This window comes from Homo sapiens, chromosome 5 (assembly GCF_000001405.40).
Source record: "Homo sapiens chromosome 5, GRCh38.p14 Primary Assembly".
Lineage (NCBI taxonomy): Eukaryota > Metazoa > Chordata > Mammalia > Primates > Hominidae > Homo > Homo sapiens.
The window spans coordinates 122,927,576-122,941,079 of record NC_000005.10 but is presented as its reverse complement, the minus strand read 5'-3'; the positions used below and the strand labels follow the sequence as shown (position 1 = coordinate 122,941,079).

General features: G+C 39.1%; 1 protein-coding gene across 10 annotated transcripts in view; it reads right to left on the bottom strand.

The window, feature by feature from the left end:
* SNX24 (sorting nexin 24) overlaps window positions 1–13,504 on the bottom strand; it is a 183,706-nt gene that overhangs the window by 88,239 nt on the left and 81,963 nt on the right. For all 10 annotated transcript variants that reach the window (NR_146145.2, XR_001742058.2, XM_017009395.2 and 7 more), the window contains one exon: window positions 4,263–4,346. Coding sequence is in view for 8 of the 10 variants with exons in the window: in XM_017009395.2 (XP_016864884.1) it covers window positions 4,263–4,346 (84 nt within the window). In the remaining 2 variants the exon portion in view is untranslated. The remainder of the gene's footprint in view (window positions 1–4,262; window positions 4,347–13,504) is intronic.

Here is a 13,504-nt window from a genome sequence, read left to right as displayed (position 1 = left end):
GAATCAGAAAGGCTGTTTACACAAGGTGTCAAGTCAGAGGAGAGGTGATGAAAGGAGATGTTATGATGGACACAAGCTGAAGTGGAGTGACTGCTAGCTTTGAAGATGAAAGAGGCCACGAGACGAGGAATGGTGGAAAAGGCAAGGAAACAGATTCTCTTCTAGAACCCAGAAAAGACTCAGCTACAGTCAGGTAATAAATTTTAAGGCTGGATGTAGTGGCTCACGCCTGTAATCCCAACACTTTGGGAGGCCAAGGCAGGTGGATGTCCTGAGGTCAAGAGTTCGAGACCAGCCTGGCCAACATGGTGAAACCCTGTTTCTACTAAAAATACAAAAAAATAGCTGAGCATGGTGGTACATGCCTGTAATCTTAGCTACTCGGGAGGCTGGGGAAGAAGAATCGTTTGAACCTGGGAGACGGAGGTTGCAGTGAGCTTAGATTGCACCACTGCACTCCAGCCTGGGTGATAAAGTGAGACTCTGTCTCAAATAATAATAATACATAAATTTTAAGCCACTGTATTTTTGGTGATTTGTTACAGCAGCAATAGGAAACTCATACAAGGTTTAAGATTATTAGCCTTGAGGGTCAATATCTATGATGTGGTGGACAACAGAGACCCGTTTCAGTGTATTTGAGTAAGAGAATGGAGGTAAAAATGGTGTTTTAGGAAAACTGGTCTGCAGCAGAGAATGGATAAGGATCTGAAATGGTTAAAGTAATACTGATATATAGTAGTAATACTCTGGACTGGGATGGTAGGAATAGAAAATGAAAAATTAGTCTGGGCGCGGTGGCTCATGCCTGTAACTCTAGCACTTTGGGAGGCAGAGGTGGGTGGATCACCTGAGGTCAGGAGTTCGAAACTAGCCTGGCCAACATGGCGAAACACTGTCTCTACTAAAAATACAAAAATTAGCCAGGCATGGTGGCAGGTGCCTGTAATCCCAGCTACTCGGGAGGCTGAGGCAGGAGAATTGCTTGAACCTGGGAGGTGGAGGTTGTGGTGAGCTGAGACTGACTGAGCCACTTCATTCCAGCCTGGGCAAAAGAGCGAGACTCTGTCTCAAAAAAAAAAAGAAAATGAAAATGAAAAATTAAGTAGTGTGTATTATAAGAATTTGGAAGATAATGCAAGGTAACAGAAAAGTAGGAACACACTTGAAGGTTTAAAACCTTGAGATGTGTGGTTCTAAGCTTTGTAACTTCAGTGTGTGTGATGGAGGTAGGTTAGGAAGGGTTGTGTCTAAGTGATAATCATACTATAGAAATTCTCAAACTTCAACAGGCATTAATCATCTGGGGTACTGCAGATTATTGGGCTCCATCACAAAGATTCTAATTCAGTACATCTAGGGTGTTGCCCAGCAATTTGCCCTTAGATAATCAAAGTTCACATTTTGAAAAATACAATCTACAAAAACTAAAAGAAAATGGAATCAAATACTCATCATAGCTCAAGAAGAAATGACTAATTTTAAGATAGAATCTGAAAGGGTAAAAACAGACACATCAGTAAACATAAAAATTTAAAACTTGCATACATTTAGAATAAATGTCATAACCAAAATTAAAAGGCCCTTGTTAAAAAATGCTTCCAGCAAATGGCTAATATTGTATTAATAGGCCACCCAAACTAATAAGCAAAAACAATCTAGACACTAGCAGATAAATGAGAAAGCACATAAATAGATAATTCTATTGAAAGAGGGGCTACAACTCCTAAACAAACCTAAGAAACACCTATTAAAACAAGGCAACATACATGCTTGCTAATAAACAAATCTAATTTTTGGAGGGGTAATATAGTTAAATATTTCAAGAGAATTAAGTAACAACAGATTTAACTACATTTAAAGGGAAAATATTTTATGTTAAACTCTAACATTCAAAGCATGTCACAAGATTCAAATATGGAAATCGAGGGTACCAAAACTGCAATAAAAGGGTAAGGTTGTTGATGTGGCAGCAGCAGTCAGTCAAGCCTGAGTACTCTGATTAAATTTTTGACCCATTTCAACCCTTCTTAGCACACAATCTTACAGTCAAAATTACAGATTTATGTTTATTTTTATACCCCATTGTTATTTGTATTTCATTGCCTTTTTTTTTTTTTTTTTTTTTTTTTTTTTTTTTGAGACGGAGTCTCGCTCTGTCGCCCAGGCTGGAGTGCAGTGGCGCGATCTCGGCTCACTGCAAGCTCCGCCTCCCGGGTTCACGCCATTCTCCTGCCTCAGCCTCCCAAGTAGCTGGGACTACAGGCGCCCGCCACTACGCCCGGCTAATTTTTTGTATTTTTAGTAGAGACGGGGTTTCACCGTGTTAGCCAGGATGGTCTCGATCTCCTGACCTCGTGATCCGCCCGCCTCGGCCTCCCAAAGTGCTGGGATTACAGGCGTGAGCCACCGCGCCCGGCCTTCATTGCCTTTTAAAGTTACCTTTTTGCCAAATCGAATACAATCACAAGGGGGCAAGTAAAGGAGACTTCTAGCAGCTGCTATCCCCTTGATAATACATAAAATTAGACAGTGTATCCCAAATAAAACTCTGCTCCACAAAGCTATTTTTATCTCTATGTCCCTGTAAAGTTGTCTCAAATATTTTAACAAGGCTGCCAACAATATTCAAAATTGAGAGATTTGTGAATTTCTATTCTATTAATGCTAGTAGACCTCATTATATAATTATAAGAATAGGTAAAATTATTAATAGAGCTGCAGAAACTGAGAGAAGAGAGAATCCTGGAAAATCTAGGATTTTTTTTGACCATGAATAGCTAAGAACTGTCCAAACTCACTGGGGAGAGGGTCCTCCTCTGCAGAAGAAAATAAACTCTACTAGAGCAGAGAACAGGGTGAACAAGCCTCGCCTCCAGAAGCACGGGCAGCCTCGTGCTCTGGGCAGGCTTAATTGGCAGTCACCCAGCTGTGCCTGGTGTGGAGCTGGTTCCTGAGTATCCGGAGAGTACAGCTGGGCTGTGCTAGGGTCATGGAGTCCTAGGTGTTGACTTGGGAGGTTAGCAAGGGGCCTGCATGTGACAGGCTGCCTCCTCTAGACTGGTCAACAGAGGCTGGGCAAGGCAGGGGGTGCTGGTTTTAATCCCACAGTAGGGACTTATTTCATCAGGTACCCAGAAGAAACCTCACTAGGATCTGTTTCCTCCCAAAACACATAAACAAAAACACACTTCCCTGGGAAGGAAGTGAGCCCCAGACTCCAGGTTTGTTTCTCTTTGGAGCACCCTGGGGTTGGTGCTTTTGTAAAGTCACTGGCAACATCTGGTCTAAATCTGTGTTCACCTGTACTGTTTATTTTCCAAGTCAACCTGGATTGAAAAAGTGCTAACCAGAGAACTAGATGTGGATTATCCCTTGCCGTCCTAACAGAAAAGTGTACCAATAACTTAGAGCTCCCCTTTAAAAGAAAAGAGAAGGAAACAGTCTCACTAATCTCTCACTAATATCCTGTTAACGTTTATAAGTTTATCCTGTTAACGGGATTTTTCTGGGCAATTTCATGAGGTATTTCTAGATATTAAAATAATTTCAGCATGCCAATAATAACTTATAATCTAGAAAAAATTAAATTTAGGTAGAAAATAAAGAAGCATTTACTCTTCTGTGCTTTAATAACCATTTCTCCCCAAAGCTCTTCCTTTTGCCTTTCTGTTTCGTTTATCTAAGACTTTTAAAGAAGTGTATCCTAGTGCTGAAACATCAGTTTTGTAAAGTGGCCCTTTACAATTCAAAAAAAGGCTAAGAGCCTCTTTTAACTTGTGTTCCCCTGTCTTTGAATATACAAGTACATGTATATGTTACTTTGAATACAGAAGTACATGTATATGATCTTTTCCAGGTACATGTAAGTATAAGTTGACTTTAATAAGTTACTTCCTGTAAGATAATCATTTGCTTTTTCTCCCCTGTCTGTAAGGAACATTAAGTGCATTTCATGGATAAAACAGAGTCTGGGTTTTATTCTTTCTGAACCTGTAACATCGAATGCAACATACTGCAAACAGCTTGCAGCCTGAGATTTTTACATGCAAATGATTTTAACAGAAAATCTACCTATTCAGAAAGCATACCTTTAAGGAACTGAATAACTTATTCCAAAAAGAAATTTACTTTATGATAAAAGAAAATGTATATACATACACAAGAAATATCAATGGTCTTAGAACCACAGAAAGGAGTGTTAGTTAACATTATACCATCTGCCACATAGAGAAAAGACAAAAAAACAGAAAACAAGTTACCTTTTTGTGCAAAGCATGAAATTCGCTGTATCTCTTTTCAACAAAATGTTTTCTTCCATTCATTAGCACTTCTATCTTAAACACCTGAGGAAAAAATTTAAAAGATTAATTATATTAGTTCAAAACCCTCAATTGTCTGATGTGGTAAGTTTGTGACCATGATATATTTCATCCCTTTAATTACAGTAGCTGATCCCCCAAAACCCAGAAGGCTCAGGACACCCTGGCCCAACAGCACTGATTAATGAGCACTCGAACCAAAGGCTCACTAACAAAGTGTGACATCCTCCAAAAACCTGTCTAAAAACAAGGGAAACTTAAATGCATAAAAAAAAACCTACCTAATTTTTTAATAAAATAATATTTCTTGCTTAAAATGATTTCACCAAGTGAATATGATAGCATTGAAACAATACTCTTTACCAGAGTATTACAAGAGGAATACTCTGGTAAAAAGCTCAGGCATGTGGTATTCCATTATGGGCATTTCAACGCAGGCAGTACTGTGTCATCTATAAGACAATCATGCAAACAGCAGTGCATTTTAGGTTAATTTCTTTCTAACCTGCATATTCATCTCTAGTCTCAGCTGGGCTTATTCTGCTGTTTGCAAAACAGGCAAAATGTAGTAAAGGCTCATTTTCCCTGCATGATACAAGTGACAGCTTGTGCTCCTAGCTCCACAAGGTTGAAAGGCCAGATGAAAAGGTTCTCTGGGTGCACTAATTAGTAGGCACTAACATGACATTTTCTTGATTCTTGGGTCAGTGGGTCAAGACTGGAAACAAGGGATGAGAAATATTGTGAAATGCTCATGAAAATACAATTTTAAGGTCGGATGGGGAGGGATGGTTAGCAGGATCTAAAGAGGAGCTCTGTCATTCCAAAAGTTTGTATTTGACTTGTGTTTTGCTAAGTGAGAGTTTATAAACACTAAGATGAAGGAATATTGTTTAATTACTTAATAAGCCTAATTTTCTATTTCAATCGCCCTTCTGAAAAAAATACAAAACTGTAGAGATCACATGACACTAAAAAGTATTAAAAGCATGCTTACTTTTAGTCTAAAAATAAAAACTACTTAAATTTGGCATATGACATACAAGGTCGCACATCTTCATTATGAAAATAGATTGCTATGGCTCTATATTTCTGTCTTACATGTAAGTATGACTATTTTAGAAATCCAGAAACATAAAATCTGTTTGCATTTTTGTGCTTCTTTGAATCAGAAACAAAATCTTCTGCTGCATGACTGAGTTTAAGAAACCTCTTTTTACTAAGTGGTAAATTTTTAACAATTTAATCAATATTTTATATTTTGTTTTTCAAGAAATACCCCTGAATAAATACTTTCCTTTGGTGAACTATTAGAAATATTTTCTTCTAAAACCATATGCATATGCTTCAAACTCTCAGATATTCTTAGATTTTTTTTAGGAAAAAAAAAATCTGTTTATTAATTCACCAGAGAAAATTATTCTTCTTCAAAGGTCTTGCCAGAAATAGAATCAGGAAAACACCTCAAGAAAACAAACAAGAGAAGCACAGCTTTAACTTGGGGGTTTGGTTAATAGGCTACAGAGCCCCTTTTTTACTATCAGTCCCAGATTGAAATCAGGACGATATGTAGCAATGAAAGTAGTTTCCATCTGCTGAGCTTTATGAAATAAATGAGGTTATGTTCTGGGTCTTATTGTTTGAGGCTTTATCACAAAACCACCACCTTAACTGGCACATTACCTACAGAATCTATAAAACAGGGAGACGGTTGAAAACTCGGCAAGGCTCTACCTACTTGCTCACCCCTCAAAGTGCCCCCCCTTGAAGGCCAGGGTAAGACAAATTACACAATGGCTGCTTCATGGAATGTCATCTCTTCTACTGACCAGATGGTTCCATTACCAAGTTCCACAGTTACTCTTCACAAGCACTAAATTCACAATGAAGGGTGGGGGAGGGTGGATGTTCCACCACAGCAAAGTTTGCGATAAACTTTAATTCTTATATTTTATAATGTTACAGTTGAAAAAACACACAATATGCCTAATACTATCAAGACTTTCTTCTAAATTCTGGGAAAACATCTTGGAAAGGAAGTTGTTCATCAGGATTTTCATGACAAAGTGAAGAAAGAAATGGAGTCAATTTAATAAATCCGGCCAGGCGCAATGGCTCACGCCTGTAATCCCAGCACTTTGCGAGGCCGAGGCAGGTGGATCATGAGGTCAGGAGTTTGAGACCAGTGTGGCCAAAATGGTGAAACCCCATTTCTACTAAAAATACAAAAATTAGCTGGGCATAGTGGTGTGTGCCTGTAGATCCAGCTGCTTGGGAGGCTGAGGCATGAGAATCGCTTGAACCTAGGAGGCAGAGGTTGCAGTGAGCCAAGATCGTGCCACTGAACTCTAGCCTGGGCAACCGAGCGAGACTCTGTTTCCAAAAAAAGAAAAATTTAATAAATCCTATTTTCCTGAATACCATGCCAGGTCATTTTTGTAAAGTCTTTCCAATTTTCCTACATATGTTGTCCCTGCTGCCTGGAAATATCTTTTCTTGCTTGGCTCTGCTGGTAAACTCCTAGTAGTGATTAGGCACCTCGTGAGGTGGCGGCCTCCAGGACGGCGCTGGGAAAGCACTCAGCACAGAATGCACCATTCATCTGTTTATTTATTCAACAGATATTTACTGAGGGCCTGCGAGCCAGGAAGCCCAGGGGTTGTTCTAGGCTCTGGGATTCAGCACTGAACAAGACAGACAAGAGGTCAGCCTTTATGGGGGCTGAGACGGGCGTATCACCTGAGGTCAGGAGTTCAAGACAAGCCTGGCCAATATGATGAAACCCTGTCTCTACTAAAAACACAAAAATTAGCTGGGTGTGGTGGTGCGTGCCTGTAATCCCAGCTACTTGGCAGGCTGAGGCAGGAGAATCGCTTGAACCCAGGAGGCGGAGGGTGTGGTGAGCAGAGATCGTGGAAAAAAAAAAAAGAAAAAAAGAGTTGAATGTGTTGCCTCTGGAATTTCAGACTGGCTGTGGGTGGACAAGGACTGTTTTCACTCCTATTGAAAAACAAACAAACAAACAACAAAAAAACCCCACACACTTTAAGGTGAAAACCAAGGTCTCTTCTGGCCAAGATAGAGTAACAGGAAGGAGATGTAGCCTCCCACTTGAAACTGGGCAAATTAAATAAGTGCACAAAATATGTGGAAAAAATGGCTCTCAAGACATTGGACATCGGGAAATGAAGGAAAGTGAGAGACAGGAAACAAGGCCATACCTACTATTACCTCAGCTTGCTGCCCAGAGAGAAGCTACGCAGGCCCAGGGAAGGGGACCCCACCCAGGCAGAGCCCTGTGATCCCCTGAGTTTAAGGAAAGGGAGCTGGGAGTATGGAGAACAGGGAGCTGCACCCTGGGTGAATGCCTGCAGCTGAGGAGGCCTCCCTCAAGTATTCAGGTGAAAACCAATCGGCACGTGAGATTGGGTAAACTACCCAAGGAGTGAGGAGGGCTCAGAGCTCACATGCAACTGGCAATGGTGCCTGTGTCCAAAAGCTGGGGCAGAAAACTTCATAATTCACGAGGCATTAGTTACAGTACTCTGAAGGTTCTTGACTCAGAAGCAGGGAAAATGAACTAGATTAAAAGCTGTTTTAGTCCAGTTTAACAACACTTCAAAGCCAGGTCTGAAGAGATCAAATTGTTTCCAGGTAACTTAACCACATGCCAGAACAAAGCTCAAGAATATTTTTAGGACTATAAAAATATCTAGAACCCAACAAGGTAAAATTAACAAAAGATAAATTACCAAAAATGTTGCCAGATTTCACCCCTCTAATGTACTAAGTTACACTGTTATGAATAGGAATGTCTGGCCCATCCTTGTCAACATAGTCCTACTTTGGCCAATCTGGTGCATAAAATGAGAATTTTTTTTTTTTTTTTTTTTTTTTTTGAGACAGAGTCTTGCTCTGTCGCCCCGGCTGGAGCGCAGTGGTGCAATCTTGGCTCACTGCAAGCTCCGCCCCCTGGGTTCACGCCATTCTCCTGCCTCAGCTTCCCAAGAAGCTGGGACTACAGGCGCCCGCCACCATGCCCAGCTAATTTTTTTGTATTTTTAGTAGAGATGGGGATTCACCGGTGGTCTCTATCTCCTGACCTTGTGATCCGCCTGCATAGGCCTCCCCAAGTGCTGGGATTACAGGCGTGAGCCACTGCACCCGGCTAAAATGAGAATTAATTGGGTATATTTTGACAAGTATGTATGGGGGCATAAGTTTCCATTCCAAATATCTCACATAAAATTACATATAAGCCTGACCTACCTGTTTATTTTTATTTTATTTATTTATTTAGCTATGTTGCTGAAGCTGGACTCAAACTCCTGGGCTCAAGTGATCTTCCCATCTCAGCCTCCAGAGTAGGTGGGATTAGAGGCCCATGCCACTGCGCCTGGCTCTGACTTGCCTGTTTAGTTTTCTATTCCTAGAGACATCTTTCCTCAGAGTTTTCCAGAAATCCCCTCTGTATAAAGTAAGGGAAGCTGCATGTAATTAAATAAATGTATTAAGGATTCCATTCAGGTTTGCATAACAAAACAAAAATCATTCTGTTCATTTGACTAAATTTTTGCCACAGTTCTAGAAACATTATTAAGTCAATAGAATTCAAATTGAAAAGGAAAACAAATGCCATTACTTTAAAGAGAAGAATCTGATCCCCAAGTGTGGTTTTTATTACATGTCAGAGCCAACTTTTTTTCTTTTGTGGTAACATCTCTGAAATTATACTAGAAGTCAAGGATAAAATAGTTCAAAATGTGGGTTTATACCCCAATTTTCAGGAATATATCTAATAAATAAAATAAACTTAAGCTAAGGAAGGACTTAACTTATATTTCAAGTTGAATGGTCTCTCTCTTTCAGAAGCTCATACGTTACAAAGTGATCACTTCTAAAGCAAAAAAAAAAGAGAAAAAGAAAAAAGAAAAGAATTCTCTATAACAGATTAAAAGTATCTAATAAATAATTCAAGTGCTTGCCAAATACAGACGGGGGTTCTATATACAAATAAAGATTTAAGCCCAAGGTTCCAAGTAGTTTAGGTCAGTGTATCGTTACGCTGGGAATCTGAAATATACATGAAGGACAACTATCTGCTTAGAATATGACTTTTCATAAATATATATACATATACATGCATATATATGTATATTTAATACTTGTTCATTAGAACAAGATGCACCAAATATTAAAGCCAGGCTTGAAATCAACATTCTCCTTCTTTAGCAGGAATAAACATTCAAGATAATAAAAAAGGTTGTTATTCCACTATAAAAAGTTGAATCTCTAAAAGCGCCATTTCTTGTGTGCCTATTGTCAGGTGCTCAGCAGGGTATTAATTCAGGTACTTAGCAAGGTATTAATTCACAACACATATAGTTTTTATGAGGGTACAAAAATAAGAAAACATTTAATTGTAAAGAATTATTATGATATTCGATTTCTAAGTACATTTACATTTTTAAAAACTAGCACAAAAATTTGATTTGTTCCTACTTTGAGCCTGAAGTCACGTTTCCTCTATTTTAAGATGCCACATTGATAAAGCAAGAGAAATTACTAATTTAATCATACTATTTTGGGTAGGGGGGAAGAAGCGTTTTTCTCATATTTCAAAAATATCTAAATTTCAGAAATTTTAAAAAGTTTTTAAGAAAAACACATACTGCTACAAACCAACCACTACTTCAAAAAACAATTCTCTAAATATAGTAAGCCCTCACTTAATGTTGCAGATAGAGGTTTTTGGAAACTGGGACTTGAAGCACATATAACAAAATCAATTTTTTTCCTCATCAACTTTTTAACAAAACGACATGATTCAAGGACCTGCTGTATGTCATTTCACTTCAAGTTGCAGTTTCCAAGAACCTATTGATATTAGGTAAGAACTTACCATAATTGCCACAACAAAATACCTATGTAAGAGTTGGACGTGATTAAATGTATGTGTGTGTGTATTGATATGATTCTGCTTTCGAAAGAAAATTCATGATAGCAAAAAGAACGTCAGGAAGATCATGGATGAAAGAGAATAAATATCCAATCTACAATGAGAAGAATCCCTGATGAAAGAACAAAAAAATTAGAACAAGAGCAAAAATCAAAGACAAAAGAAATCCAACTTTCTTAAGCTGGAAAGATCAAAAGGGTTTATATATCCCAGGGAAAAACAAGACAAGGATGTCCACACCTACCCACCCTAGAATTTATTTTTAATTACAAGCATAACCAAAAACCACTTCTAATATACAGAAGCAAAAAGCAGAAACAAAGATCAGGATGACCCTAAACTTTTTCTCTGACATGCTAATTGCCAGAAAAAGTAGAGCAATGCCTGCGGAGTTTTATCAGAATATTATTTAATAGTCATCTAAATTATTATTCATGTATAAAGACAACAAAAAGTCAATCTCAGTTTGCGGGAAAACTCAAAAAACAAATAACCCAAACATCTTTTTTGAAAAACTTACTGAAGGTGTAGAACTGCCAATGGAAAGATAGATCAAAAGCAAAAGGCTGCTAGTCAAGAAAAGGCTGACAAAGTGCCCAGCAGGAAGCACACAAGGGCTTCTAGGCCACTTGGAGGCATCTTCTCACAGCCTGCTCTGTTGCTGTCCTCTCTAGAAAGATTTGTGGTCAAAGGTGCTTGGCACACAGAGAAACAAAGAAATCCATAGAAAACCTGTTCAAAATTTTGGCTCCAAATGTCTTCAAAGTTTGATAGTGTGTGAGCTTTAATGCAGAATTCCATGTCTAGTCAAATCTTCCACCAAGGGCAAGGGAAAATGTTATTTTCAGATATGCAGAAGCACAAATGGTTTATTATATACACATTCAGGAACCTTCTTTGAATATTAAAAAAAGAAAAAAAAAGGAATTCACAAAAGAAGCCAAGACTGTGGACCTAACCTAGAAACAAAGTAGAGAAAAAAAACCTAAAATGTAGCTTTGCGATCTTAAAAGTGTTCAAATTAGAATAAAAGCCAGAGAGCTCCAAGAAGAATGCCTTCATGGAAAAAAAAAAGATATGATTAATACCTATTATAATTTATAAGGTTTTAGTGATAGTGTCAAAGCATTTGTCTTTCTCTGTCAAGAAAAAAAGGGACTTAAATTTTTCAAGATAAATAAACAAAACTATATACAATGTAAAGGTGCAAATACAAAGCGGACCAAATGTACTATGATTTGGTGCAGTTTACAGAATAATAAGAAAAGAACGTCCATTTGGCATAACACTTGAAATATTTCACACTGAGCAGTACAGACTTAGTAATTTATAAGGCAACGTTGTCTCTAAAAAAAAAAGGCTATTGGAGCTATACTCAATATAAAATGCTTCTTTTTCCCCTCAAATGAACATTCCTTGGAACAGTTTTTTAATAAGAGAGGGCAAAATTTGCTCTCAGGGACCTGGGAAGCTTTTCCTAAAGAGCTGATGCTTCAGACTACAGGGAAAGCAGGCAAAGAGGAGGGACAAGCACTGTGGGCAGAGCATGTGCAAAAGCCCTGAAGCAGCAGGTGAGAGGCCGGAAGCAGCTGACTGTGGTACAGCCAGGCAGTGAAGAGACACCTCTGAAGGAGGCTGGAGAGGGAGCAAAAAGCTAACTCCACTCTTCTTCTCTGCAAGTATTAATGGTCTACCAAGTGCCAGGTTCAGAGCTAGTCATTGGAGATACAACAATGAACACAGACAAAAACCCCTAACAGACCTTACTTACATTTTAATGAGGGTGGAGGGTGGGACAATCACACAAATTAACAGATATTAGTGTCACAGAGAAAAATAAACCAGGGTAATAGGACAGAGAGGGCCTGGATGAGTATACGGCTATAATTTTGGGTGAGGTCTTGATGGTAAAATAATACTTGAGCAAGAACAGAAAACCATACAAGGTCTCTGCTCAAGTATTATTTTACCATCAAGACCTCACCCAAAATTATAGCCATATACTCATCACTTATCTCACAGTACTACAGATCAGAAGTCCAATGGGCTTGGTTGGTTTATCTGTTCAAGTCTCATGGGCTAAAATCAAGGTACTGGCAGGGGTGTGTGACTGCAGAGGTTCTAGGTGATAACAGGTTCCTGCAATAGGATCCCTGCAGTTGTGAGACTGAGGCCCCCACCTTTTTGCTAGCTGTTTCCAGCTCCTAGCAGCCACCTACATTCCTGGAATCATGAGCCGCTTTCTCCATCTTCAAGGCCTGCAACAGTAGCTCACGCCCCTCCCTTGTCATATTTCTCTAACCTACTCTTCTGCTTTCCCCTTCCACTTATAAGGACTCATATGATTCCACTTGGCCCACCCAGATAAGCCAGGAAAATCTCCCTTATCTCAAGGTCCTTAACTTTAAACTCTTTTACCAAGTCCCTTCTGCATGTAAGGTAACATATTCAGAGGTTCTGGGGATTATGGTGTGGACATTGTTGAAGATCCATTATTTCATTCACTACAGACCTGAATGACAGGAGGGAGTGAGTCCTGAGTCTACCTGGGATGGGAGGAGGTTGGTCCAGGCAGATGGAAGAGTGAATAGTCACAGAATCTAATTTAACTTTCAGCATTACCATTGTGTGCCAAGAGTTATCCAGAGAGAGAACAGTTAGAGGGAAGGTCTGAGTGGCAGTGGGAAGAGGTGAGTGAAAGTAGAACCAACAGGATAAGCTGATGACTGCATGTGGAAAAATGTAAAAATACATAAAAATGTTATGTAAAAGTACATAAAAATAAAAGGGAGAAAGTGAGAGAATGAAATGCAATGGTGAGGTTTTTGGTCTGAGCAACTGGAAGGATGGTGATGCCACCATCAACTGGCTGCGGACATCTGCATCAACTAGTCTGTGGTGGCAAGTTAAGAGCTCAGCACTAGCCACACTAAGTTTGAGATGCACATTAGACATGACGTGGAGATGCTTCAGAGGACTGAGTTGACAACTCTGGTCTTAACTAGAGATATAAATTTGGGCATTATTAGAGTGTGAATGAAGACTAGATCTGATCACCTAGAAACAGAAGTCAAATAGGGGCCTTTAGATCATATCAGGGTGTATGGTTTTATCATTTCAGCAACAAGAAGATTTTGCTTCACTTTAAATGCCTTTCTCTTCCAAATTAAACTTTTCTAACTCCTATACCTGTCTTTCAGATGACATGGTTTTCAGGTCTTAC